Below are 25,507 nucleotides of genomic sequence, written 5' to 3' on the forward strand. Positions count from 1 at the left end.
TGTATGTCTACCAATGAAAACTATCATGGCCCCTTTATACGAGGTGGAAATCTTGCTCACTATAACTGCACACTTTGCTCTAATGTCAGTGGAAGGTCAGCTTGCTACCAATGCAGCTCCGTCTCTTCTTGCTGACCTTCTACACCCAGGCCCCACCCCAAGCTGGTAAACAATCCACAGCCTTTTACCTTTAGATCACAACAAATATTAGGTATCACCCTATACATCAAAAAAATTTCAGGGGAAACAGGCATATAAACTTTGGTTTAAAACTTCTCTTTTTTTAAAAAAATTATTTATTGGTGTGATGTATGTGGTTGTGTAGTATGACAAATGACCCATCATTGGGGGCTTTATTTGAAATTAGAAAAACTTGAAATTTTATATTATTTATTTATTTTCTGATTATTCAATATAGGCTCTGTACAGAGTATGAAAACAGAAAATAGCCAAACAGCACTTCACAGCATCAATCTGTACAGCTCCCTCGAGGTTCAGAACATACGGAGACTCCATTATTTATGCTGATGATCACATTAGTCACTTGATACATAAAGTCGTCCATATTTTAGGGTAGTTGGCTTTGAAGAACTTGGAATTAATAAAGAAAAAATTATATGCAAGAAACATTTTTCAAACTTTAATTTATCTAGAATATGTATCATTTAACATTCGAGAACTATGAAATGATTCCCAGAAAGGAATTACCAGAAAGCAACCTTAAAATACTTGCAAAGTAATAGAAAACACATCCAAGTTAAATGATGAAACTCCTTCCTCCAGGGTTCCTAAACTCATATTAATAATGTGAACATTGGACATGTATGAATAAGTTTTAGTGTTGTTACTTGCAGTAAAGTTTGTATAAGAGAAATAGGTGTGATTCTGTCTTCCAGAGATTTGACTTTAGAGGATAACACACTATTGATAGCTTATAAAGCAAAATGCTTCTGCTGACTGCCATAGGCCTATGGAGAACTTTGCAGAATGTTGCTGTTATCATCCAGCAGGAAGATTTGAGCATCATCAGTTTTATTTCTTAAGTGCATGTCAGACAGGCCCACAAAATCCCTGCATGGGAATTATCTCAGAGCTCCGATAGAATCCCAGTTGGGAGGTCCACTTGGAAGAAGTAAAGAAATCTGTAGTTGCTGCTTTTGTGAATTGGGTATGTGTCACTTTTATTAACCACGTCCCAACTTCATGGATTGCTTAGAAGAAAAATTTGGTTCAGTATCTGTTCAAGTTGTAAATTTAACTAATGAGAGTTATAAACTGTTATATATAATTTTAGTCATTTAAAATTAGTGCATTATGATAATCAGCCTGGGATAGCAATGGAAGTTTAAAAGTCAACTTCTTATGAATACATTTAAACTGAGTGGTGTGTGTGTGTGTTCAGGCACACACACATGCATCTATGCCCTAGGAGTGCATCTTTTATGTTTAATATTTTATCACAATATATTAACCTTTTTTTAAGACATGAGAGAAAAATCTTCATTTTTTATAATATTATTTGAATTATCCTTTTCACTTGGCGTTCCTTCTTATCTGTATTCTTTAAGTGACATTTAATAGGAATAGTGCAGTAGAGTGTGTCAGATATAAATTTTTAGGTATAAATCTCAAGTGTGCAAATATGTAATTGCCTTTATTTCTATAGCTAAATTGACCATTGATCTCGTTTAATTACTTATGTTTGAAAGAGAAATTTAACCTTGCAAAGTCAAGTCAACTCAGTCAATTTTAGTTGAAAACCTAGTCACTTTGGCTGTAAATACATGATCAGGTGAAGGTTTTCTACTCGCCTTCCCCTTCTCTCCCTGGGTGACATAAAAGTGCAGGCAGAGGTGAGGGGTGGGAATGCACATGTTTCATGTTATAATGGCAGAAATATACTTCCACTGACTTCTGTTGAAATAGGTATTTCTGCACATGATCTTGGTTGTGTTCTGGCATCTATTTCTGGCATAGGTAGTTTTACCATGAACTCCAAAATCCAGAGCACACAGATTTTTCTGTTCATATCTTGTTTCTAGACTCTTACTTTATAGTGTCACACCTCCAGGAAACACTGATTTATCAACAGAGTCCATTTTCCTCCATGTAAGATTGCTTAGATTCTTTAATATTCTAATGAGAAATATTAAATATACAGAACATATTTGTGACACACAGCTGTATATTTAATCTAAGAGCAGTTTGCACTCAGTTTGCAGGAGCCAAAGTTGGCTAAAAGCGCCCTGTTCTCCAAATTTTGAGTATCTGTGCTCTCATCTCTGATTACTGCTTTTGATCACAGAAGTACAGACAAAGAGGGAGGAAAATCGTTGTTGCGCCTCCACCCATTGTTTCACTCCCACTCTGGCTGAAGTGACTTTCTGGGCACTTAAAGGGCTGGCACACCTTTTTACTCCCACTTTCAGTTATATCTTTCTCTCCTTTTGGGAGCCAGACTTTAAAGACCAGGACATTCAAAAACAACTGCATATTAGAAAGTGACTGCACATGCTGTTGGCTCAGAAGAGCTGAGAAATTAAGTTTACATCTCAGACTGATGCTTGGCACAGAGACAACCTACAATTGAAAAAAAAACTAAATAAACACAATAACGAAAACAAAAACCCTACAGACATGGGAAATCAAATTTCCAGAGATGCCACATTATTAGATTTAAATGTCCAGTTTTCAACAATAACAACAAAATCACAAGACACACAAAGAAATAGGAAAATATAGCCATTCAAAGGAAATAAAAATAAATCAAAAGAAACTATTCCTTTGAAACATCTGATGGTAGATATTCTAGAAAAAGATTGTAAAACAGTTGTCTTATAGATGCTAAAAGAACTGAAGGAAGATGTAGAGAAAGTCAAGAAAATAATATGTGAACAAAGCAGAATATCAAAGGGTTAGAAACTGTAAAAAGAAACCAAAAAGAAATTGTGGAACTGAAAAGTACAGTAACTGAAAGTATAATAACTAGAGGCATTTAAAGGAAGATTGAGCAGGGAGAAAAATAGAATTAATGAAGACAGGACAATGGAAATTATCATGTCTGAGTGACAGAAATAAAAAATACTGAAAAAACATTATCAGAGTCTAAGGGACGTGTTCAACAAATCAAGATATGCATTGGGGGAGTCCTGGGAGAAGAAGAAATAGAGAAAAAAAGGGCATATTTGGAAAAATAATGGTTGAAAACTTCCCATATTTGATGAAAGACAAAAAAAAAGCATCCAAGATCAACAAATTCTATGTAAGATGAACTCAAAGAGAGTCACGTTAAAACAAATCATAATCAAAGTTTGAAAAAAGACAAAGAGTGGGCCTTGACGGCAGCAAGGGAAAAGTAACTTTGGTCAAGGGGTCCTCAAATAAATTATCAGCAGATTTATTATCAGAAACTTTGGATACTAGAAGGCAGTGGGTTGATATATTCAAAGCACTAAAAGAAGAAAAAGAACATCCATGCATCCTAAATTCAGCGAAGCTCTTCCTTAAAAGTGAAGGTGAAATAAAAACATTATGAGACACAAGCTGGGAGACATTATTACCACTAGACCTGCACTTAAAAAATATTCTTGAGGGTCCAACAAAGTGAAAGAAAGTAATACTAGACAATAACTCAAAGCCACATGAGGAAATAAATGTCTCAAAAAAGTAAATACATAGGCAATGATAAAAGCTAGTATTGTTGTAACAAAGGTTTGTAACACCACATTTTTAAATGTAATTTAAGATAGTAATATATTTTAAAAGATTATTTATTTATTTTGGGGGGAAACACAATGTTTAACTATATAATGTTGTGAAATCAGAAGGGGTGGGAATGGAGCTGTAAAGCAGAGTTTCTGTATGTTGTTGAAGTTAAGCTGGTATAAATTAGAACATTATAACTCTAGATATTAAATATAATTCCCATGGTAACCGCAAAGAAAATAACTATAAAATATATACAAAAGGAAATGAAAAAGAAATGTAAATATTTCATTAAAAAATCAACTAGATGTAAAAAAAGACAGTAATGCAGAAAAATGAGGGCAAAGAAAGCTAAGACATCACAAAACAGCAAAATGACAGAAGTAGGTCCCTCTTTATTAGTAATTACCTTCAATGTAAATGGATTAAACTCTCCAATCAAGAGACAAAAATTGGTAAAATGAATTTTTAAAAAATTTAGCTTGTATGTGGTAAGAAACTCACTTGAGATCCAAAGACAAATAGATTGAAAAAGAAAATATGTATATTTTTTATTTTGTTATTTTTATATTCCATAAAAATGACCAAAAGAGAGCACAGGTGGCTATACAAAATCAGACAAAATAGACTATAAATCAGAAAAGTTTGCAAGAAACAGAGATATATTAATAAAAGTTTCTGACTAGAAATATTTCCAATACACCCAACATTTTGGGGGGTATTTTATTTAGTTATTCTTAGTAGATGGGTTAGCCTGATACAAGCTACTTCTTCATAGTTGGAAGTTAAGGTATATTATGGTCATTTTGTTATCTTGATTTCTTGGGAACATGCCTGATACCAGTACAATGTATCTTCCCACTGAAGAGGACATCTAGAGTGGTCTCTTTGCAGTAGTCCCTTTTACTATTTTTGAGGTGAGCGCCAGGTCCCCTCCTCTTTCCCTCCTGAAAGTTCCCACAGCTTTCTCTCAAAGCCCTCCTTACAAAATCTCACCTCTGCCCCCACCACCTTTGGCTCTTGAGACTTTTAAATCCTTGATGTTTGTTTTAGAGTTATTATTTTTCTCAACCACTGGTCTATTCTCCAATTAACTTCAGAATGTAGCTTTCTTATCTTCATCTCCAATCAAAACTGAGAGCAACTGAGTCCTTTGAAAATATTCTATTGTATTTTACTTAAAATATCTATTAAATGTTTAATTTCATATCATCCAAAAAAAGGTAATGACTCATGGCTCTATCTTATTCTATCTTAATCTAAATCTGCATAAATTTTCCCCTAAATATCTTCCTCTTTGTCATCAAATACAAAAACAAAAGTTGAAGTAAGAAATTCTGGTTTCACTGAGTTATCCTTAACATTGCATAATTGGTTGTAAGCTACATATCCACATTCAATATAACCTTAAAAATCCTTTCCATTGCCCTTAGCTTTTGCTAAGCCTTGTTTTATTTTATAGTTTGGCCTTCAAAATTCTACCATCTGAGTTTTGAATTACTCGCATATATTTGTCTTTTTTTCTCATCATTTTTACCTGCGTATCTTAAACCAAAATTTAAACGTTCTTGGATCCACACTGGATTCTTTCACCACATTCTTACTTTCTTTTTTATTTAAATGTTTTATTGTATAATCAATACTGAAGTTCTGAAAGCCTTCAAATGTTAGAGAAAGCTTTTTTCTCCCATAGTCTTATGGTATGTAGTAATACCTCTGTCTTTTCTAAAATGTTTGAAATCTAACTTCCTTCCTATCATCTAGTAACTAGGGATGTAAAAAGAGATACTAAAAATGATCTATTATGTTACATTCACTTATATATTTTCTTAGTTGGCAAATTACAATTTACTGAATGAGTTTTACTTTTGTTTACCTTAGTTTTATAATATACTAAAAATATTGCCTGATACAATAGAATAATATTTTGCAAAATATTTTATCTGCTGGGTAAGATGCAATTAAAATTTACATTGCATCCAATATACTCAGAAGAACGGAATATTGATTGATATTTATAAGAGGACCAAGCACAAATGAGGTTTTTTTATTAACAGTTTTTCAGTATAATGTTCTATTTTGGTGCATATTCTTTACCAGCATATTCATTATCATAATTTCAGTGTAAAGTTATGCAGTAAATTAAATGAAAATCTTTTTAAAAATTTATCCTTGAGTAACTTCGTAAGCCTCAGAAAAGAGGTCTCAATAAAGCCTATTTTGCAATAAATATTCATTATCCTCTTATGTAAATATCACTGCTTGGATTAGTCAGTACACTTAAGAGATTAATGACAATAAATAAGTTTTATACCTCACACATAGCTGATATATCCATTTCCAGATCCTTATGTGTATGCGGACATTATATGTCATATTCCTATAAACTTCTTGTTATAAATATCAGCACTGTAACAATAATGACCTTATCATACATTTCACAAATCAGAGACGTTACTTGTAGGGAATATAAACCATTAGACACATTTTAAATGTGATGGTTGATTTATTTTTGGTATATACAAAAGTCTCTGTAGCTTTTCATACTGTCAAGAACCTGGAACTATTCAAGAAATATAAGTCTGTTGGCTCTGTGTGGTTAATGACACTAAGTCCGAAGGGGGGAATGAAACAGAAGGCCTCAGAGCTGAGTAAGACACATTTAAAGGTCTCATCCAATGCAAGATCTCAGTGGGATTTCAAGCAGTGTGTAATGTGGAAGGTCATAGACAAAAACTTTATAATAAACCTTTCTAGCCAGAAAGCAGTCTTCCATGCAATCTATCCCCAAAATGGCACACTAAATAAAAATAACATCGCTAAGTTCATAAGTTCCAATATACTACTGGTATATAATTAGATATCCAAATATTTGGTCGTTAAAAAAATATGATATGGGTACATTGTTGTATCTAGCCCTCCTTTGTCACCTCCAAATAGTGAAAAAATAAAAGTAAGATGGATACACAAATAATGATAATGGACAAAGGTTAAATATAATCACAAAATGAAATCTCCCTAAGAAAATATAGTTTGTTTTAGTTCAATGAAGAAAATAGTAGTTTCTTCATGTGGCCAGTAATCCTCATTGCTTTATTAATATATTCAAAAATGGTTAGTGAGCTTGTATCATATGAATAGCAAACTATGCCACCTGGATTAACCAGCAAAATTAAATCTTAAATGATTAGAGATGATCTCTCCATGTTTATCCTTTTAGCCACCAGTTATCTCCTCTCTCTCAAGTCTCCATTGTAGCTGAAAAGACATAAATAGGTGTGAGTTTAGTAGGTGTTTTATAAGAGAGGAGGAAATTTAAAAATGTAGATAGTTATTAAAACCTTTAAATATTTGAGTGCACTAAAGTGTATTGCTATGCATCAAATTTATGTTTGCTCTCTTTTAGTTACAGCCTTAATTGCTTCCTTTTTGTGTACCATCTCACATAAACTATTGTTTTATGTATTAAATCAAAGAAGCTTTGTTCACACTCACTATAACTCACCTCACTTTTTGCTCTACCTGCATACAAATATTTAATAACATCTTTTGTATCTACACTTCTTGCAATATCTTACTTTTGCATAATAATGAGAGCCGAGAAGGTAAGCTTAGTAGCAACACTGATGTAATTCTCAGGTTGAGTTTTATCTCTAAATGTTTTTCTCTAACATTGAGTGCCATAGAACCTATTAGCTTGCTCTGGATAAAAGTGTGAGACTGATCTATAAAGATTGCAAATGAGGGTTAGGATTCACTTTTGGGAGTCCTTATTTTTTGCAGGAAATCTAGAATCCTTCATGCTTACCTTAACAAAACCCCAGCTGCCACTATGTCTCTGCTGACAACCTCCATCATTTTCCCACCAATAAGACATAGGAAATAAAGGGGAATCAATATTAAATTTATTTTACATGTGAAGTACCAATAATTTTTCTTTAACACCCTACTCTGATGCACTTCAGCCTGCAACTTTGAAGTGGAGTATTTCTAAATCAACGTCACACAACAGTGGAACTCAAGGATGTTATTTATTCAGATGTTCTTCCAGGTTTGAGAAAAGATACAGGCATCACTGTCCACCTTCCATCTGATGAGCCTTTCTGGCATTTTAATTACCTGAGTACTGATTTTATCTAGCTAGAAGTTTATCTTAGTGTAGTGGCGGCAGCAGCAAAACAAGGTCACAGTTACAATATCACCGGGGAGATCCAGACACATCACTTTCAAAACACCCGTAATAGTCCTAGCACTTCGGGAGGCCAAGGCAGGCAGATCAATTGAAGTCAGAAGTTGGAGACCATTCTGGTCAAAATGGTGAAACCCCTTCTCTACTAAAAATACAAAAATTAGCCAGGCGAGGCGGCATATCCCTGGAGTCCCAGCTACTCCGGAGGCTGAAGCAGGAGAACTGCTTGAACCCAGCAGGCAGAGGTTGCAGTGAGCTGCGATCGTGCCACTGTACTCCAGCCTGGGTGACAGAGTGAGACTCTGTCTCAAAAACAAAACAAACAAAAAACACCCATAATGGGACAACATTGAAGCTGTACCTTCTGCATAGCCGTTCTTTTCCTCTAATCACCCCTACTTCTCTAATTGATTCTCCTTGTTTTTTTTTTTTTCCAGTGTCTGAGTTCATGACATACCCTGGTTCTCAGCTGGATGTCAATTAATCCCTAGTAACTAAGATGTTAGCCAATAAAGCTTTATATATTCCCTCCTGCAGTTATTCACATATCAAAAGAGAGGAAATAATCCTGTCAATCTAGAAGGATTGAGTTTTCAAAAAGAAATTATGCCTATCTCTCCTCAACGGTTCCTAATCAGTGACTTCTAATTCCAGTTTCACTCATCAAGTAATACAAACTGAAAAATCTATATGTGCTAACCAAACAGCTGTCCGACGATGTCTTAGAAACAGGGTGGTTAATCTAGACACATCACAAACTAGTGCTAGAAAGGAGTTGGAAGAAACCAGTGAGCCTTTTACCAGAGCAGAGCTCTGTTTTATTCCAGACACCCACCAGCAGCTTATATAAAAGTCTAGAATCAGATCAAACATTTGCATAATTCTTTATATCATGTAGTCAGCTATACCTCACGTTTAATACTATCATTATCATAGCGACAATATAATATTTTAATTAGAATTTTTAAATATACCTCAAAACCGTATTGAAACTTACCAACAACAAACTAAAGGTAAACAGAGAAAAAAACTTCTCCAACAACATTTTTGGGATCAGAAATACCACCCAAAGTCCAGAAGCCCAACTGTTTGTCAAAATTAAAAGATGACAAAAATATAAGTAGGTAATTTTTAAACTTCAAATAAAACTAGAGCAAAAATTAAGCTGAATAATCAAACTCTGACTAGGTCAGAGTTTATTGCCTGGAGACTCAGTTCTCTGAAACAAGGTAAGGCCGGTGAGAAATTCTTTGAAGTAGTTAATGAAATAAGATAAGGACTTTGTTCCTCCTGATTTACACATGTTCCTAGTGCTGTTACCTGAATCAAATATCCTTCCTGAACTCAACCCCCTTAGTAAAAAGGACAGCAAAATCTACCTGGTAAAGTTACCATGAATATTATTGGCTCATTCAGTGTAAATATAGTTGAGTGCTTTATGTGCCTTTCTGAATACAAAATATACATGCTCATCTCAGAAAATAAAACCTCGCTACTCCTTGAAAACACTTCGGCATTTTTTCCCTAGTATTTTATCTTAGTATCACAATCCTAAATCTTGCTTTATTCACTAAACATGTTATCATGAGAGGCAAATGCTGCTAAACACAAAGCCCAGAAAATCTGAATCTCAGATCCTTTCATGGAATTGAACAGGTTGCTAAAGCTCTATGAGTCTCAATATTTTTACTTTGATGATGGGGATATTATTAGCTACTTCATAGATTCATTTAATGAGATAAAGAATGTAAAAAGCCTAGCACAGATTGGATATATATAATTTATCAATAAATTATGTCCATTCTATCCTGGAAGCTAGTGAAATCAAGCAAGGGAACTAACAGGCAAAACCATCCATCAAGTAACTAGGAACTATCCTCAGGTCTTCAGTGCTTTCAAAACTGTCAGGAAGGGGTGTGTGCGTGCGTGCGCATTGAGTGTGTGCCTACGTGTGCGTGTGTGTGTACATGCCATGCTTATGTGCAAATGTGCACACATACATGCTTTGATGTATATTACCTTAAGACACTACCAGAGTGGAAATCTCTTCTGGGGCAGGGACACAGAGATGGGTGCGTGTGTGTGTGTACGTGCCATGCTTATGTGCAAATGTGCACACATACATGCTTTGATGTATATTACCTTAAGACCCTACCGGAGTGGAAGTCTCTTCTGGGGCAGGGACACAGAGATGGATGCCTTCTGAAGAAGCCCATGGGGAAAACTGAGGTAGGCTGCTGATCACTCTGCAGTCCTGCTAGACATCTCTGTCACTGTGAAAAAGGAGTCACCATTCATGACAGAATCTGCTAGGCCTTTTGCTCCTGTACAGTCTCTAAGTAGCAGGCATTCCTGTCCTGCACTTTGGAGCCTCCATGCCAAGATGGCATGCTGAGATTTTGCAAGCACTGGACCAAAAGGGTTATTTTTGAGCTAGATGTGGCTCACGGAATCTAAGCAGAGTACAAGGTAATAAAATCAAGACTTTGCCAACAAAATTACCCCCTTATTCCCTGTCATTAAGATAGTTCTGCTTTACTCCACAGGATATAAAGAGGATTTAGTTGAATAAGTCCTATTATTTATTACAGCCACCATTTACAACAGAAATAGTTTCCACCCGCCTGCTTTAGGAAAATGGACAAATTACTAGATCATCACTTATGGCCACAGAAACATCAGTTTCCTAGCCAACAGAACACACTGCAGATAAAAAGATACAAGATGACAGAGAAGGTGATAGAGCAAGGAACGGAAGCTTCTGACTTTCTAGCATTGACTTTGAAAGTCATAGAAATATGAGAAACTTTTAGAGGCAGCAAAGTGGACTGGAAATGTGGAAATGTAGGCTTCCAGGTATACCCACACAGAAATTTAACCTCAAAGAAAGACAACAATTTTACCACAATTCATTGACGGGTTGAATTTCCAGCTTTCATGTAAGGTCATTGAAAATAAGAGTAAATGCAGTCTTTTCAAATAAACACAACTATCTATTTTGTTCTCATTCAATCAAATTCAGAATGAAACACAATGTCTGGATACATTTAAATTCCTTGACGGTTAAATGCATTTGTAATGTTGGTAAAGGAAAAATTATATATTTTAATGCACTAATGCAAGAGAGACCTGTATCTCCTGACATCTTTGAAAGTATATATTTATAATTTTTTTCTTTCTAAAACTATGATTGTCCCAACCTGTTTCTTAAGTTAAAAATAAAATAATTACATTTTAACAATCGCAAACATTTTGAGTATTTTTGAAGAGTAATAGCCTTTAGTTGGTTTCTAACTTGATAACTCTACTGTATGAATATGAATAACATATATAATATATATGGATAATTTTAAAAGTATTTAAATAGCCACCACTTTGTCTTTTCTAGTCTAGTTTCTCTTTAATTAAAGGCTGTAAAAATCCACAGGGACTTTTGTATAGCTGTTACTTCTGGGAAGTCAATCAAATAGTCTGGGGTTCCTAGTCACCTGGGAAGCCAGGAAGAAAATACACTTTAACAAAGTACAAGTGCAGTTGCCTAAAAATCTGGAGTCTGACTTCTGGTACTGCCACCTCTTAGGAGCATTTGACTTGAAAAAGTGACTTAAGTCCATGAAACCTAGTACACACGTCTTCCTGCATTAGATTACAGGCCAAGAACAGGGTGCTTTGAAAAAATAATTAAAAATATACAAACTTTGTGGAGTTGTTTGGATTAAAAAAATTAGATGTTTTATAAATATGTAATAATAAAGTGGAATTCCATCTATTATTCCATTCTCTGGAGATAATTGCCTTCAACAGTTCTATTTCTCTGCTCATCTTAGTGTATTATTATTTTTATTGTCGTTATTTTATTTTATTATAAATATTTTTTGAGACGGTGTCTCACTCTGTCACCCAGGGTGGAATGCAGTGGCACAATCTTGGCTCACTGCAACGTCTGCCTCCTGGGTTAAAGCGTTTCTCCTGCTTCAGCCTCCCAAGTAGCTGGGACTACAGGCGCCATACTACCACACCCGGCTAAGTTTTTATTTTTACTAGAGACAGGGTTTCACCATGTTAGCCAGGCTGGTCTCAATTTCCTGACCTCAGGTGATCCACGCACCTTGGCCTCCCAAAGTGCTGGGATTATAGGCGTGAGCCACCACGCCCAGCTCTTCCATTTTATCTTAAGAAGTTTCCCTATCTAGTAGACTCTCCTCTGATAAATTCAAATATTATTTGATGCATAATTTTCTTTTTTCTTAACAACAGTTTAACAACAGTATTCCTTGCATAAAATGAGAGACACCTCTATTCGTTGCAATTTCAAGTCGTTCCAGTTCTTCCAAAGGTCAAGTTACTGCTATCCCCACATAATTTAAACATTTATAATTCTTTGCCCCCTAGGAGTTAAGGAGCTTCTAAACAGAACTTGCTTGCAGAGAATGCTTTGTGATCAGAGAAACTTGCTCATTAGCTTGAAAAGACAGTTAACATTTCAAAGTGTAAAGACATTATAATTGTATTTTTGGTGTAGTAGAGAGCGCCTAATGAAAATTATAGAGATGCTACATTTGTTTAAAGATTTTAAAATACAAGTGTATACTCTAAAAAATACCAAAAGGATTACACAACTTAGTCTCCTTTGCTCAGAAGCCACAAGTTATATTTAAACAATCACAATTTATGGAAGCCTGGAGAATTTCATGTTTTAAATATTATAAATCTATTTGGGATGCTTGTTGAATCTGAGGTATGTAATATGCCATTTATAAAGATATATGTAAATATCCACAACTCTGTATGTCGATAGCTGTTTAAAAATGGATACTTTCATTCCCTCATCCAAGCACATGCAGTAGCATGCTGACTATGTGCCAACAACTGTACTAGTTTCTATAGGGAATAAAGAAGAAAGGAAAGTTTCAAGGTACAAGCACCCTCGCACACTGTTGGTGGGACTGCAAATTGGTATACGTTTTGCAGGCAAGATGGACAGACTTTCTTGAAATCTGAAATGTGTATAGTTTTTGATCCTGCATTGCCACTTCTGAGAGTTTCTCCGAAAGGAAAAAATGTGGCTGTGTGTTTGTGCATGCATATGTGTGAATGCAGAAGTTGCAGTGAGCTGAGATTGAGCCACTGTACTCCAGCCTGAGCAACAGAGCAAGACTCTGTCTCAAAAAACAAACAAACAAACAAAAAGATAAAGTGGAACATAGTTTACAAAATAATTGGAGACTTCTTAGTAAATATTTTTATGATTGTGATCTTTTTGGAGTTATAATTTCACTTTAAGATTTCATAATTGGCACATATGAATCACTTCAAAGGATGAAATCCAGAAATTGAGTTCAGTATTCAACGAAAGCAACATAGTGATGTCAAATCTGTTAGCTCATTTGGGCTACATGGGCAAGACAGGGGAACGATTCAAAACCTAACAGCTAATGTCACACTCAGCAAGAGAACAAGGCAAAGAAGTGGCTTAAATACAAGTAAATATTGCAGAGGCAGAGGTCATGAAGATTCAGACTCAAGACAGACAAGTGGCAGAAATGTGGCAGACAGATGGAAAAAGAACTAACATGCATTGATTTTTCAACATAAACCAGGCACGGTGGCAACATCTTTTCAGACAGCTCTTATTTCTCTTAATCCTTCCAACAGCCTCTGACAGTCATTTATACTGATATTTATAGAAGAGGAATTGAAGCTCAGAGAACCTAAGTGGCTTTCCCAAGGGTTACTCAGTTAATAAAAGTTAAGGTTAAAGCAACAAAAAGGATATTCTTTGAACTGCCCCATGCTACAGACCAGGGTGAAGACCCAAGTGAGAAAAATCTGTCTTATAATAGGGAGAGAACCTGTCTTTTCAGTAAGTTTCTGAAACTCTATGAGAGTAGGAAGTAAGAACTGGTTTCCTAATATGGGATTAAGTTTAGTCCAGCAGTTTCTCTAAGTATCATTTTAGGACCACATCTGTAAATATTGCCTGGATCCTATTAAAATGCAGCTTTAAGAGTTTTAACAAACATCACACATGACTTTTAAGCACAGTAATACTTCAGAAATACTGATTTAAAGGCTCTAAGTTAGTTGTGATCGTATAAACCTTGATACCTAGCATATCCAGAGGAAACCGGTATTTAAAATTCAGAGGAAAGCTATCCAGTTTTGCAGTTTCTGAATATGATTAAAAATAATCATGAAATGAGGACAGCAGAATTAATTCCACCCTTAGTGACAAATTAAGTCAGAGCAGAAAAAAATAACATACTAGAAATCAATTTCAAGGATTATCAAATAACAAATGACAGAATTACTAAACGCTAATAACAGAAGTGTCAGTTACACTAAAGCATGTGAAAAGCATTTGAATCGCAAACTAGCGTATGTTGATAGTTCTCATGGGTTTTCAGAACTTTGAGGTAAGATGGGATGTAAGTAGTTGGAAGAGTATTTTCTAAAGCAGCTGTTCACCTACTATTTTCAGACATATTAGAATAAGGGCTCAGGTAATTAAAGTTCCACCTTCAATTTAATTGCCAATTACTCTATCTAAGTGAATCTGGTAGATGCTGTATAAGAAAGCCAAGGAGTCCAAGCGCCCAAAATACTTAATTATCAATTGGGAATTGTACATACAAATTGTCTGTGGGGGAAAAGGAGGATTCTTTCTAGAGTAATCGCGTTTAGTACCTATGATGGACTCTACCAATGTCAAGAAGGAAAAATGTTATTCAGGAAACAAATTTCCTTTCCTTCATTCCACATGTCTTTCAGAAATACTATTTTATTTCTTATTTTTTGTTTTTGCATTTCAAACACTACATCCACAATAATTTTTCCACTCACCTCAAATAAGGTGAAGTGTAACATGTTACAACTTCCAGGCATGATATTCAAGCATAAAGGGATTTGTCACCCATGAACACACATGTAAGTTCTAAAGTGACTCAGGAAAATTTAGTTAACATTTATTTTGTTTTATATAATCTCCTAGCACTATTCAAATTATTTATATCAATCATCTGCTTTAATTCTCTCAGATATGTTAATTTAGTTCTCTCAGATATGTTATCAATATACGCATTTTACAAATGAGACCAAGACTCAGAAAAGAGGAAAGTTGCCCAAGTCACAGAGTCTGTAAGTACTGGAGCCAGGATTTCATCCCAGGAAATCTGACTCTAGAGCCCAAACCTTAACCACAATGCCATACTAACAGCAATTGCAAACACAAATGTGAATATATGTAGTATCCAAATCAGCACAAATGTCTCTAACATGGAGTACTTAATGCTTTTAAGAAAATAAATGCAAAGTTTTAAAAATATGCCTATTGCACATGTTTTAAATAAAGGAGCTTTACACAGTTGAGTATGGATTTAATTTTGATCCTGTGTAGCTCAATTTCTAGAATCTGTGACTAATAATGAGAATCAAAGTTCATACTGACAAAGCTGCATCTCTGAAAGATTCTAAAGTTTCTTTTCAAAAATGAAAAAAAAATTAAAATGATGTCAGTATAGCCTGATTGTTATGTACTTTAATTATCTGAAAATTGACAATTTGTTAATGGTTTTGGAATAAGATAAACTAGGATCACATCCAAGCTTAGTCACTGACTATTGCTGTGATCTTAGCCAAGAACTCATTGTTAGAACTCGTTGTTGTAATCCTGTATGTTAAGAAGGTAGACTAATTATTACCCCAAATGCTCTTCCTGGTCAGGCTACATCAGAATCCTGCAGGAGGCTTGCTAAAACTTCACGTTCTTAGGACTTAGACCAAAATATGTTGAATCAAAATCTCTGATGGTAGATATTCACATTTTAAATAAGTCCTCCAGGTGAACATGTGAGCACTGAGTTTTGAAAACTAATGGACTAGATGACTGAAATATTTCCAAGACACAATTTCACAATTAAAATAAATTACAGCTTCTTTTTCCTAATTTTAAAGAAAAGAAAGAGCTAAAAATTATATCAAAAATATAATGAACTATAATTAATACTCTGTATGTTATTTTCTTCCCAATAGAGAAATTTTACTCATTGCCATTCTTTTTGCCTGTATTTACATTTTTCAGATTTTTAAAATTTATTATAGGTACATAATAGTCGTATATTTTTCTGAAGTAACTGTAAATTTCTTTAATACACATGTCTCACTCTATTGCCCAGGCTGGAGTGAAGTGGTGTGATTACAGCTCACTGCAGCCTTGACCTCCCAGGCTCCAGTTATCCTCCTATCTCTCAGCCTCCTAAGTAGCTAGCGCTACAGGTACACACCACCATGCTTGGCTATTTTTCTTTTCTTTTTTAATTTTTTTTCTAAAAACAGCGTTTTGCCATGTTGTCCAGGCTGGGCTTGTGGTGTTTTGATAAAGGCACACAATGTGTAATGATTAAATCCAGGTAACTGGGGTATCCATCTCTATTAGGCTGTTCTTAAATTGCTGTAGTGAAACATCTGAGACTGGATAATTTATAAAGAAATAGGATTAATAGCCTCACGGTTCTGCAGGCTTTACAGGAATCCTGGTACCAATAGCTGCTTGGATTCCACAAGGCCTCAGGAAGCTTAAAATTATAACAGAATGTGAAGGGAGAGCAGGCACATCACATGGTGAAAGTAGGAGTAAGAGAGAGTAAGGGGAGTAAGTGTCACACATTTTTAAATGACAAGATCTCACAATAACTTACTATCATGAAAACAGCATCAAGCCATGGGGGATTTGCCCCAGTGACCCAAACACCTTCCACCAGACCCCATCTCCAGCACTGGGGATTATAATTCAACATGAGATTTGGGTGATGACAAATATTGAAGCTATATCATTCTGCCCCTGGCGCCTTCCAAATCTTGTGTCCTTCTCACATTGCAAAATATAATCATACCTTCCCAGCAGTCCCTCAAAGTCTTAACTCATTCCAGTGTTAATTCAAAAGTCCAAAGTCCAAAGTCTCATCTGGGACAAGGCAAGTTCCTTCTACCTATGAGCCTGTAAAATCAAAAACAAGTTATTGACTTCCAAGATTCAATGGGGTTATAGGCAATGGGTGAATATTACTATTCCAAAAGGAAGAAATCAGCCAAAAGAAAGGGGTTATAGACTAGGAGCAAGTTTGGAACCCAGTAGGCCAATCATTAAATCTGAAAACTCCAAAATAATCTCCCTTGACTTCATATCCTGTATCCAGGGCACACTGGTGCAAGAGGCGGGCCCCTATGGCCTTGGGAAGCTTTACTCCTGTGTCTTTTCCACACTGAGATTGCAAGTTGCTGATTGCTGTACCATTCTGGGGTCTGAAGTTCCCACAGCTCCACTAGGCACTGCCCTAGTTGGAATTCTGTGTGGAGACTCCAACCTCACATTTCCCCTCCACGTTGTTCTAATAGAGGTTCTCTGTGAGGGCTCCACCCCTGCAGCAGGCTTCTGCCTGGGCACCCAGGCTTTCTCATACATCATCTGAAGTCTAGTCAGAGCCTTCACTTTTGCACTCTGCATGCATGCCTGCAGGCTAAACACCATGTGGAAGCTTCCAAGGCTTATGGCTTGCATTCTCCAAAGTGGCAACTCAAGCTGTACCTGGGCCCCTTTGAACAACAGCTAGAGATGGAGTGGCCAGATGTGGGGAGCAGTGTTCAGAAACTGCACAGGGCAGCAGGGCCCTAGGCCATGAAACCAGCCTTCTCTCATAGGCCTCTGGGCCTGTGATGGGAGGGGCTACTGAAAAGGTCTCTGAAATACCTTTAAGGCATGCCCCCACCACTCCCCTACCCTTGTCTTGGCTATTAGCACTTGGCTCCCTTATAGTTATGCAAATATCTCTAGCAAGTGGTTGCTCCACAGCCTCCTTGAATTTTTCTCCCAAAAAGAAAAAGCTTTTTTTTTCTTCTCGGTCACATGTCCAGGCTGCAAATTTTCCACACTTTTTTACTCAACTTCCGTTTTAAATATAAGTTCTAACTTTAGGTCATTTACTGCCACATTTGAGCATATGCTGTTAGAAGTGGCCAGGCCATATCTTGGATGCTTTGCTGCTTTGAATTTCTTCCATCAAATTTTCTAGGTCATCACTCTCAAGTTCAAATTTCCACAGGTCTGTGGGGCATGGACACAATGTAGCCAAGTTCTTTGCTAAGGTATAAACATGGGTGACCTTTGATACAGCACCCAGTAAGTTACTCATTTCCATCTGAGACCTGATGAACCTGGATTTCACTGTCCATATTACTATCAGCATTTTGATTACAACCATTTAAGCAGACTGTAAGAAATTCCAAACTTTCCCTCACTTTGTCTTTTTCTGAGCCTTCCAGACTTCCAGCCTCTGCCCATTACCCAGTTTCAAAGCTGCGTCCACATTTTCAGATATCTTTTGAGCAATGCCTCACTCCTTGGTACCAGTTTTCTGTGTTAGGCCATTTTTTCATTGCTATTAAGAAATTCCAGAGACTGAGCAATTTATGAAGAAAAGACGTTTAACTGGCCTACAGTTCTGCAGGCTTTACAGGAAGCTTGGTGCTGATATCTGCTTGGAGGCCTCAGGAAGTTTACAATCATGGTAGAAGGCAAACGGGGAACAGGCACATCATGTGGCAAAAGGAGGAACAAGAGAGAGAGTGAAGGAAAGGTGCCACACATTTCTAAATGACCAGATCTCACAAGAACTCACTATTATGAAGACAGCACCCAGTCATGAGGGATCTGCCTCCATGACCCAAACACCTCCCACCAGGCCCACCTCCAGCACTGAAAATTATAATTAAACAAGGATTTGAGTAGGGGCAAATATCCAAACTGTATCACAATCATCTTAACCATTTATCATTTTTTTCTATCAGGAATATTGCAATTTCACTCTTTTAGTTATTTTAAAATACACAATAAAATATTGTTAACTATAGCCATCCTATTGCACTACTGAATACTATATCTTATTCATTCAAACTATATTTTTGTACCCATTACCCATCCCCACTTTATCTTCATCCCCCCATTACCCTTCCCCGCCTCTGATAACCATCATTCTACTTTCTGTCTCCATGAGTTCAATTCTTTTGTTTTAGCTCCCACATGTGCATTAGAACCTGTGGTATCTGTCTTTCTGTGCCTGGATCATTTCACTTATAATGACCTGCAGTTTCATCCATGTTGTTGCAAATGACAGGATTTTCTTTTTTATGGCTAAATAATAATCCATTGTGTATATGTACCATGTTTTCTTTACCCACATTTATTTTAAGTTGTTGGACAGTTAGATTGATTTCCTATCTTGGCTATAATAGTAATGCAATAAACATGAAAATGCAGATATCTCTTCAATATATCGATTCCCTTACTTTTGAACAAACACCCAGCTGTGGAATTTCTTGACCATTTTTTCATTCTATTTTTAGCTTTTTGAGAACCCTCCATACCATTCTTCATAGTGACTGTACTACCTAAATTCTCACCAACAGTGTGTAAGATTCCTCTTTATCCACATCCTTTCCAGCATTCATTATTGCCCATTTTTTAGATTAAAGCCATTTTAAGTTTTGATTTTTATTTCTCTGATGATTAATTATGTTGAACATTTTTCCATATACCCGTTGGCTGTTTGTATGTCTTTTGGGAAATGTCTATTAAGATCTTTGGCCCTACTAATTTTTTTAAGCTTTTTATTTTTAGAGACAGGATCTTACTCAGGTTGCAGTGCAGTGATGTCATTATATCTCACTGTAACCTTGAACTCCTGGGCTCAAGTGATCCTCTCACCTCAGCCTCTCTAGTAGCTAGGACTACAAGGACACACCACCAAGCCCAGCTAATTTGCTTTATTTTTTAGCAATAGGGTCTTGCTATGCTTCCCAGGATGGAGGCCAATTTTTAAACTGAATTACATTTTTCCTATAGAGTTGTTTGAGCTCTTTGTATATTCTTATAGCCTTATATATTCCTTGTCAAATGGGTAGTTTGCAAATATTTTCTCACTCTCTGTGGGCTGTCTCTTCACTTTGTTGATAGTTCCCTTTGCTGTGCAGAAAGCTTTTGGCTTAATGTGATCTTTTTTGCCCCTTTTTGCTTCGGTTGACTATGCATTAGAGATCTAACTCAATAAATCTTTGCCCAGAACAATGTCCTAGAGTTTCCCTAAGGTTTTCTGCTAATAGTTTCATAGTTTCAGGTCTTAGATTTAAGTCTTTAATCCATTTTGATATGATTTTTGTATATGGCAAGAGATAGGAGTCTGGTTTCATTCTTCTGAAAATGGATATCCAATTTTCCCATTTATTGAAGAAGCTGTCCTTTCCCTAATGTATTACGTTCTTGACATCTTTGTCAAAAATGAGTTGCCTGTAAATATGCAAATTTATTTCTGAGTTTTCTATTTCATTAGTCCATGTGTCTGTTTTTATACCAGCATCATGTTGATTTGGTTACAATAGCTTTGTAGCATAATTTTAAGTTGAATAATGTGGTTCCTCTGGTTTTGTTCTCTTTGCTTAGCACAGCTTTGGGTGTTTAGGGTCTTTTGTGGTCCCATATCAATTTTAGTGTTTTTTTTCTATGTCTGTGAAGAATGTAATTGGTGTTTTGATAGTAATTGCAATGAATCTGCAAATTGCTTTGAGCAATAAGAATATGTTAACAATAGTGAGTCTTCCAATCCATGACATGGAATATCTTTACGTATTTTTGTGTCCTCTTCAATTTCTTTCATCAATGTTTTGTAGTTTCATTGTAGGGATCTTTCACATCTTTGGTTTAGTTTATTTCTAGGTATTCTATTTTGTTTGTAGCAAATATGAATGGAATTACTTTGTTGGTTTACTTTTCAGATTGTTCACTCTTGTCATACAGAAATGCTACTGATTTTTGTATGTTGATTTTGTATCCTGAAACTTTACCGAATATATGTTTTCATTGTATTCTGCTAGAGTCTTTAGGTTTTTTAAACATAAAATATGTATGCAAATAAGATAATTTGACTTCCTTTCCAATTTGGATGCCCTTTATTTTTTTGTTCTAATTGCTCTGGCTAGGAAACCCATAGTACGTTGAACAAAAGTGGTGAAGGTGGGTATCCTTAGCTTGTTCCGGATCTTAAAGATTTCATTTTTCTCCATAAAATATGACACTAGCTGTGGGTTTTTCATATATGGCTTTTATTGCATTCCTTCTATACTCAGTTTATTGAGGGTTTTTTTCATAAAGCTGTGTGGAATTGTATCAAATGCTTTGTTTTTGACATCAGTTGTAATAATAATAGGGTTTTTTTCTTTATTCTTTTGATACAGATGTATCACATTTATTGATTTGCATAAGTTTAACCATCTTGGCATCCCTGGGATTAATCCCACTTGATCATCATGAATGATCTTTTTATTGTGTTGTTGAATTCAGTTTACTAGTACTTTGTGAGGAGTTTTGCATCTATATTCATAAAAGATACTGGCCTGTGGTTTTCTTTTTACCTTGTGTTTTTATCTGCTTTTGGTACCAGGTTAATAAATTGGCCATGTGGATTGAGTTTGGAAGTATTTCTTCAGCCTTGATTTTCTGAAATAGTTTGAGTAGGATTGGTATTAGCTATATTTCAAATGTTTGGTAGAATTCAGCAGTGAAACCATCAGGTCCTGGACTTTTCTTTTACAGCAGACATTTTATTTTTGCTTTACTGTCATTGTTTTTGGTCTATTCACGTTGCAGATTTTTTTCATGGTTTAATCTTGGTAGGTTTTATATGTCTAGAAATGTAACCATTCCTTCTATGTTTCCTGATTTATTGGCATATAGTTGCTCATAATAATCTCTAATAATTTTTTGAATTTCTGTGGTATCAGTTGTAATGTCTCCTTTTTTATCTCTGATTTTATTTATTTTGATCTGTCTTTTCTAATTAATCTGGCTAAAGTTTTGTAGATTTTGTTTATCTTTTCTAAAAACCAACTTTTCATTTATTGATATTTTGTATTTTTTTGGTTTCAATTTCATTTATTTTTGCTCTAATCTTTATTATTTCCTTCTATTTGGGGGGTGTTTGAGTAGCTCTTGCCTTTCTAGTTCTTCAAGATGCATCTTTGGGTGTTTATTTTAAAGTTTTCTACTTTTTTGATGTAGGTGTTAGTTGCTATTTACTTCCCTAGTAGGACTTTTTTTTTTTTGCTCTATTACATCGGTTTTGGTATGTTGTGTTTCCATTTTCATTTGTTTCACGAAATTTAAAAATTTTCTTTTTAATTTCTTCATTGACCTGATGGTCATTCAGGAGCATACCATGTGTTCGTATTATTTCCAAAGTTCCTCTTGCTATAAATATTTAATTTTATACCATGCGGCCTGAAACAGTAATGTGATTTCAAATTGTTTGAGACTGATTTTGTGGCCTAATATATGGTCTATTCTAAAAAATGTTTCATGTGCTACAGAGAAGAATGTATTCCACAGATATTTGGTGAAATTCTTTGCAAACATTTATTAGGCCTATTTGTTCTATAGTGCAGATTAGGTTTGATGTTTCTCTTTCGATTTTCTGTCTGGATAATTGGTCCAATGCTGAAAGTGGGGTGTTGAAGTTCCTGGCTATTACTGTATTGGTGTCTATCCTTCTCTTTAGCTCTAATAATATTTGCTTTATATATCTGGATGCTCCAATGTTGGGTGCATATATATTTACTACTGTTATGTCCTCTTGCTGCATTGATCTTTTTAATATTATATAATGACCCCTTTTTTACAGTTTTTGTCTTGAAATCTATTTTATCTAATGTTAGTATAGCTACTTGTGCTCATTTTCTTTTTAGTTTTTTTTTTTTACAATTTTTGTCTTGAGATCTATCTTTTCTAATATAAGTACAGCTACTCCTACTCATTTTGTTTTTGTTTTCCATTTACATGAAATAGCTTTTCAGTCCCTTTCTTTTCAGTCTGTGTCTTTATAACTGAAGTTAGTTTCTTGTATGCAACTTATAGTTGGGGTTTCAACTTATAGTTGGGTTTTCAGCCTCACTATGTGTCTTGGAGTCCATTTTCCAATGTTATTATTGATAAGTAAGGATTTACTGCCACCATTTTTTAATTTGTGTTCTGATTGTTTTGTTGGTCCTCTTTTTCTTTCTTCCTTTCTGTTTTCCCCTGTATAAAGGTGTTTTTCTCTGGTATTTTAAAAAAATTCTTTTTATTTTCTGTGTACCTGTTATAGGATTTTTTTGTGGTTACTATGAGGCTTGCAAGTAAAATCTTAAAACCACCTATTTTAAACTGATGACAAGTTAACTCTGATTACAAAGAAAAGGCAAAAATGCAAACTAGCACAGAGAAAACTAAGAAAACTTTACATTGTATATTATTGCAAAATTATAAAACAAGAAGGAAATTTGAAAGCTATTTGACCATTTACTTTTAATTAAGACCTCTTTTATCAGGTTTTAAGTATCACATTTGGAAGACGATTTTCTCCATTATTCTGTTTCTCCAATAACTCAATTGACTCCAAAAATGATCATCAGCAGATGCCTAGATAGTTTATAATCCCATATAAATACTGAATTCTTCTATTACAAGCTTGAGGGGATATTGCTTGAAAATTGCTCTATGTAAAGAAGTAATTTATTCTTACTGTAATTTATCCAGTACAATTAAACAGTAAACTTAAAACACTAGAGCACCATAAGGTTTCTAGATGGTGCCTTAATCAATTACAAGGAAAAATTCTAAGATTCTCTTTTGTCTCATAGAAGTAATTCTTTCACTGTTTTGACTCTAACAACATAGGACGAGTTACATTAGCTGAATATAAGCCAGAATGAAGTGAATTTCCATATGCCATGTAGAAATAAAATTTCTAATAAAACTGCCTCAATATAATTAACACTTGTTATATAAATAGTGCTCAATAAATGTTAGCTTAAATAATTAATTAACTTAAATTTCTTAGACTTACAACTCAACAAGTAAGCAAATGGAACACAATTAAAAAATGGACAAGGAATGTGAATAGACATTTTTCCAAAGAAGATATACAAGCACATGAAAAGATGTTCAACATCACTAGTCAGTAAGGAAATACAAATCAAAGCTACAACTGACACTACCTCACACCAATTAGAATGGCTACTATCAAAAACACAGAAAATAACAAGTGTTGGTGAGGATGTGGAGAAATTGGAACCCGTATGCACTGTTGGTAAGAATGTAAAATTATGCATCCACTAATGGTAAATGGTATTGCAGTTTCTCAAAAAATTAAAAGTATAAGTACTGTATAATCTAGAAATTTCATTTCTGGATATGTCCCTAAAACAATTAAAGCAAGGACTCAAATTGATATTTGCACATCTATGTTCACAGCAACATTATTCACAATAGCCAAACGTAGAAGCAACCTAAGTGGCTATTAAAAGCTGAATGGATAATGGGCTTGGTGGTGCACACCTGTGGTCCCAGCTACTCGGGAAGCTGAGGTGGGAGAATCACTTGAACCGGGGAGGCAGAGGTTGCAGTAAGCCAAGATCGTGCCACTGCACTCCAGCCTGGGTGACAGTGAGACTCTGTCTCAAAAGTTAAAAAAAAAAAAAAAAAAAAAAAACTGAACGAATAAGCAAAATGTGCTATATCCATACAACAGAATATTCAAATTTAAAAAGGAGGAGAATTCTGACACATGCTACAACATAAATGAAACTTGAGGACATCATGTTATGTGAAATAAAGTAGTCACAAAGGACAAATACTGTGTAATTCTACTCATATGAGGTACATAGGTAAATTCATAAAGACAGATAGTAAAATGATGGTTGCCAGGGGCTGGAGAGTCAAAGAGAATAGAAAGTTATTGTTTAGTAGGTCAAGTTTCATTTTAATATGATGAAAATGGTTATGTGGCTATATGGTAGATGGTGGTTATGCTGGCACAACAATGTGAATAAATTATGATTAATGGTGAAAATTAGAATTTTGGATACTAAAGTTAACATATCAAACAAGGTGCCCAAATTATTTCAAAACTATCATGAACACCTTGAGCAAAGTAACTGTATGTTACATTTTTGTACCCTCAGCAGCTAAACTAGGACCCAAAATTCCGTTGCTTAAAGATTATTTAACTGATCTGCAAAATGAACATTTTCAATGAAAGTTGGTTTTCCTTTACTCTTAAGATGGAAAAGTGAGTGGGGCTTGAATTACATAAGCAGCATGACTTGAATTTTAACATAACCTTTTAATAAATGACTAAATGAGCTACAGTCTGTGGGCCAAATGCAGAAAAATCTGAAAAGTATGTGAGGAATCTCCACATAGAAAAATAGTTGTCTTTCCTGGGGAGTAAAACAGAAATGTCTAGAAATGTAAAGTAAGATGATTAGACATCTGTCCAATGAGGATTTTTAAATCAAAATGGAAAACCATGACAAGTTTGACATCTATACCTCTGATGATTTAAATAATCCATTTTAATCTGATTAGGATGACTTAGAAATGATTTTGCTTAATATTTACAGAGGAAGGCAGGGTAAAGTAGCTTTCCTGAAAGCATAAAATTTTATGAAATATCTTTACCCTGCAAAGAATAAATCTAATTTAAATTATACAAATATTATTTGATTTGAGCAATGCTATGTAGAATGGAA

General features: G+C 35.0%; 1 long non-coding RNA gene across 1 annotated transcript in view, besides 1 other annotated feature; it reads left to right on the forward strand.

Annotated features, from left to right (window-relative positions):
• Nucleotides 1-25,507, forward strand: part of LINC02147 (long intergenic non-protein coding RNA 2147) — a 535,702-nt gene that overhangs the window by 226,009 nt on the left and 284,186 nt on the right. The gene's annotated exons all lie outside the window — the stretch shown is intronic.
• Nucleotides 17,371-17,988: an enhancer, noted in NCBI's record as "NANOG-H3K27ac hESC enhancer chr5:117309435-117310052 (GRCh37/hg19 assembly coordinates)". NCBI's record gives its function as "activates a minimal SCP1, AML or CMV promoter by ChIP-STARR-seq in naive H9 embryonic stem cells {active_cell/tissue: H9 hESC(naive)}" and the evidence as "EXISTENCE:reporter gene assay evidence [ECO:0000049][PMID:30033119]".

The sequence above is a fragment of the Homo sapiens genome, chromosome 5, assembly GCF_000001405.40.
Source record: "Homo sapiens chromosome 5, GRCh38.p14 Primary Assembly".
NCBI lineage: Eukaryota > Metazoa > Chordata > Mammalia > Primates > Hominidae > Homo > Homo sapiens.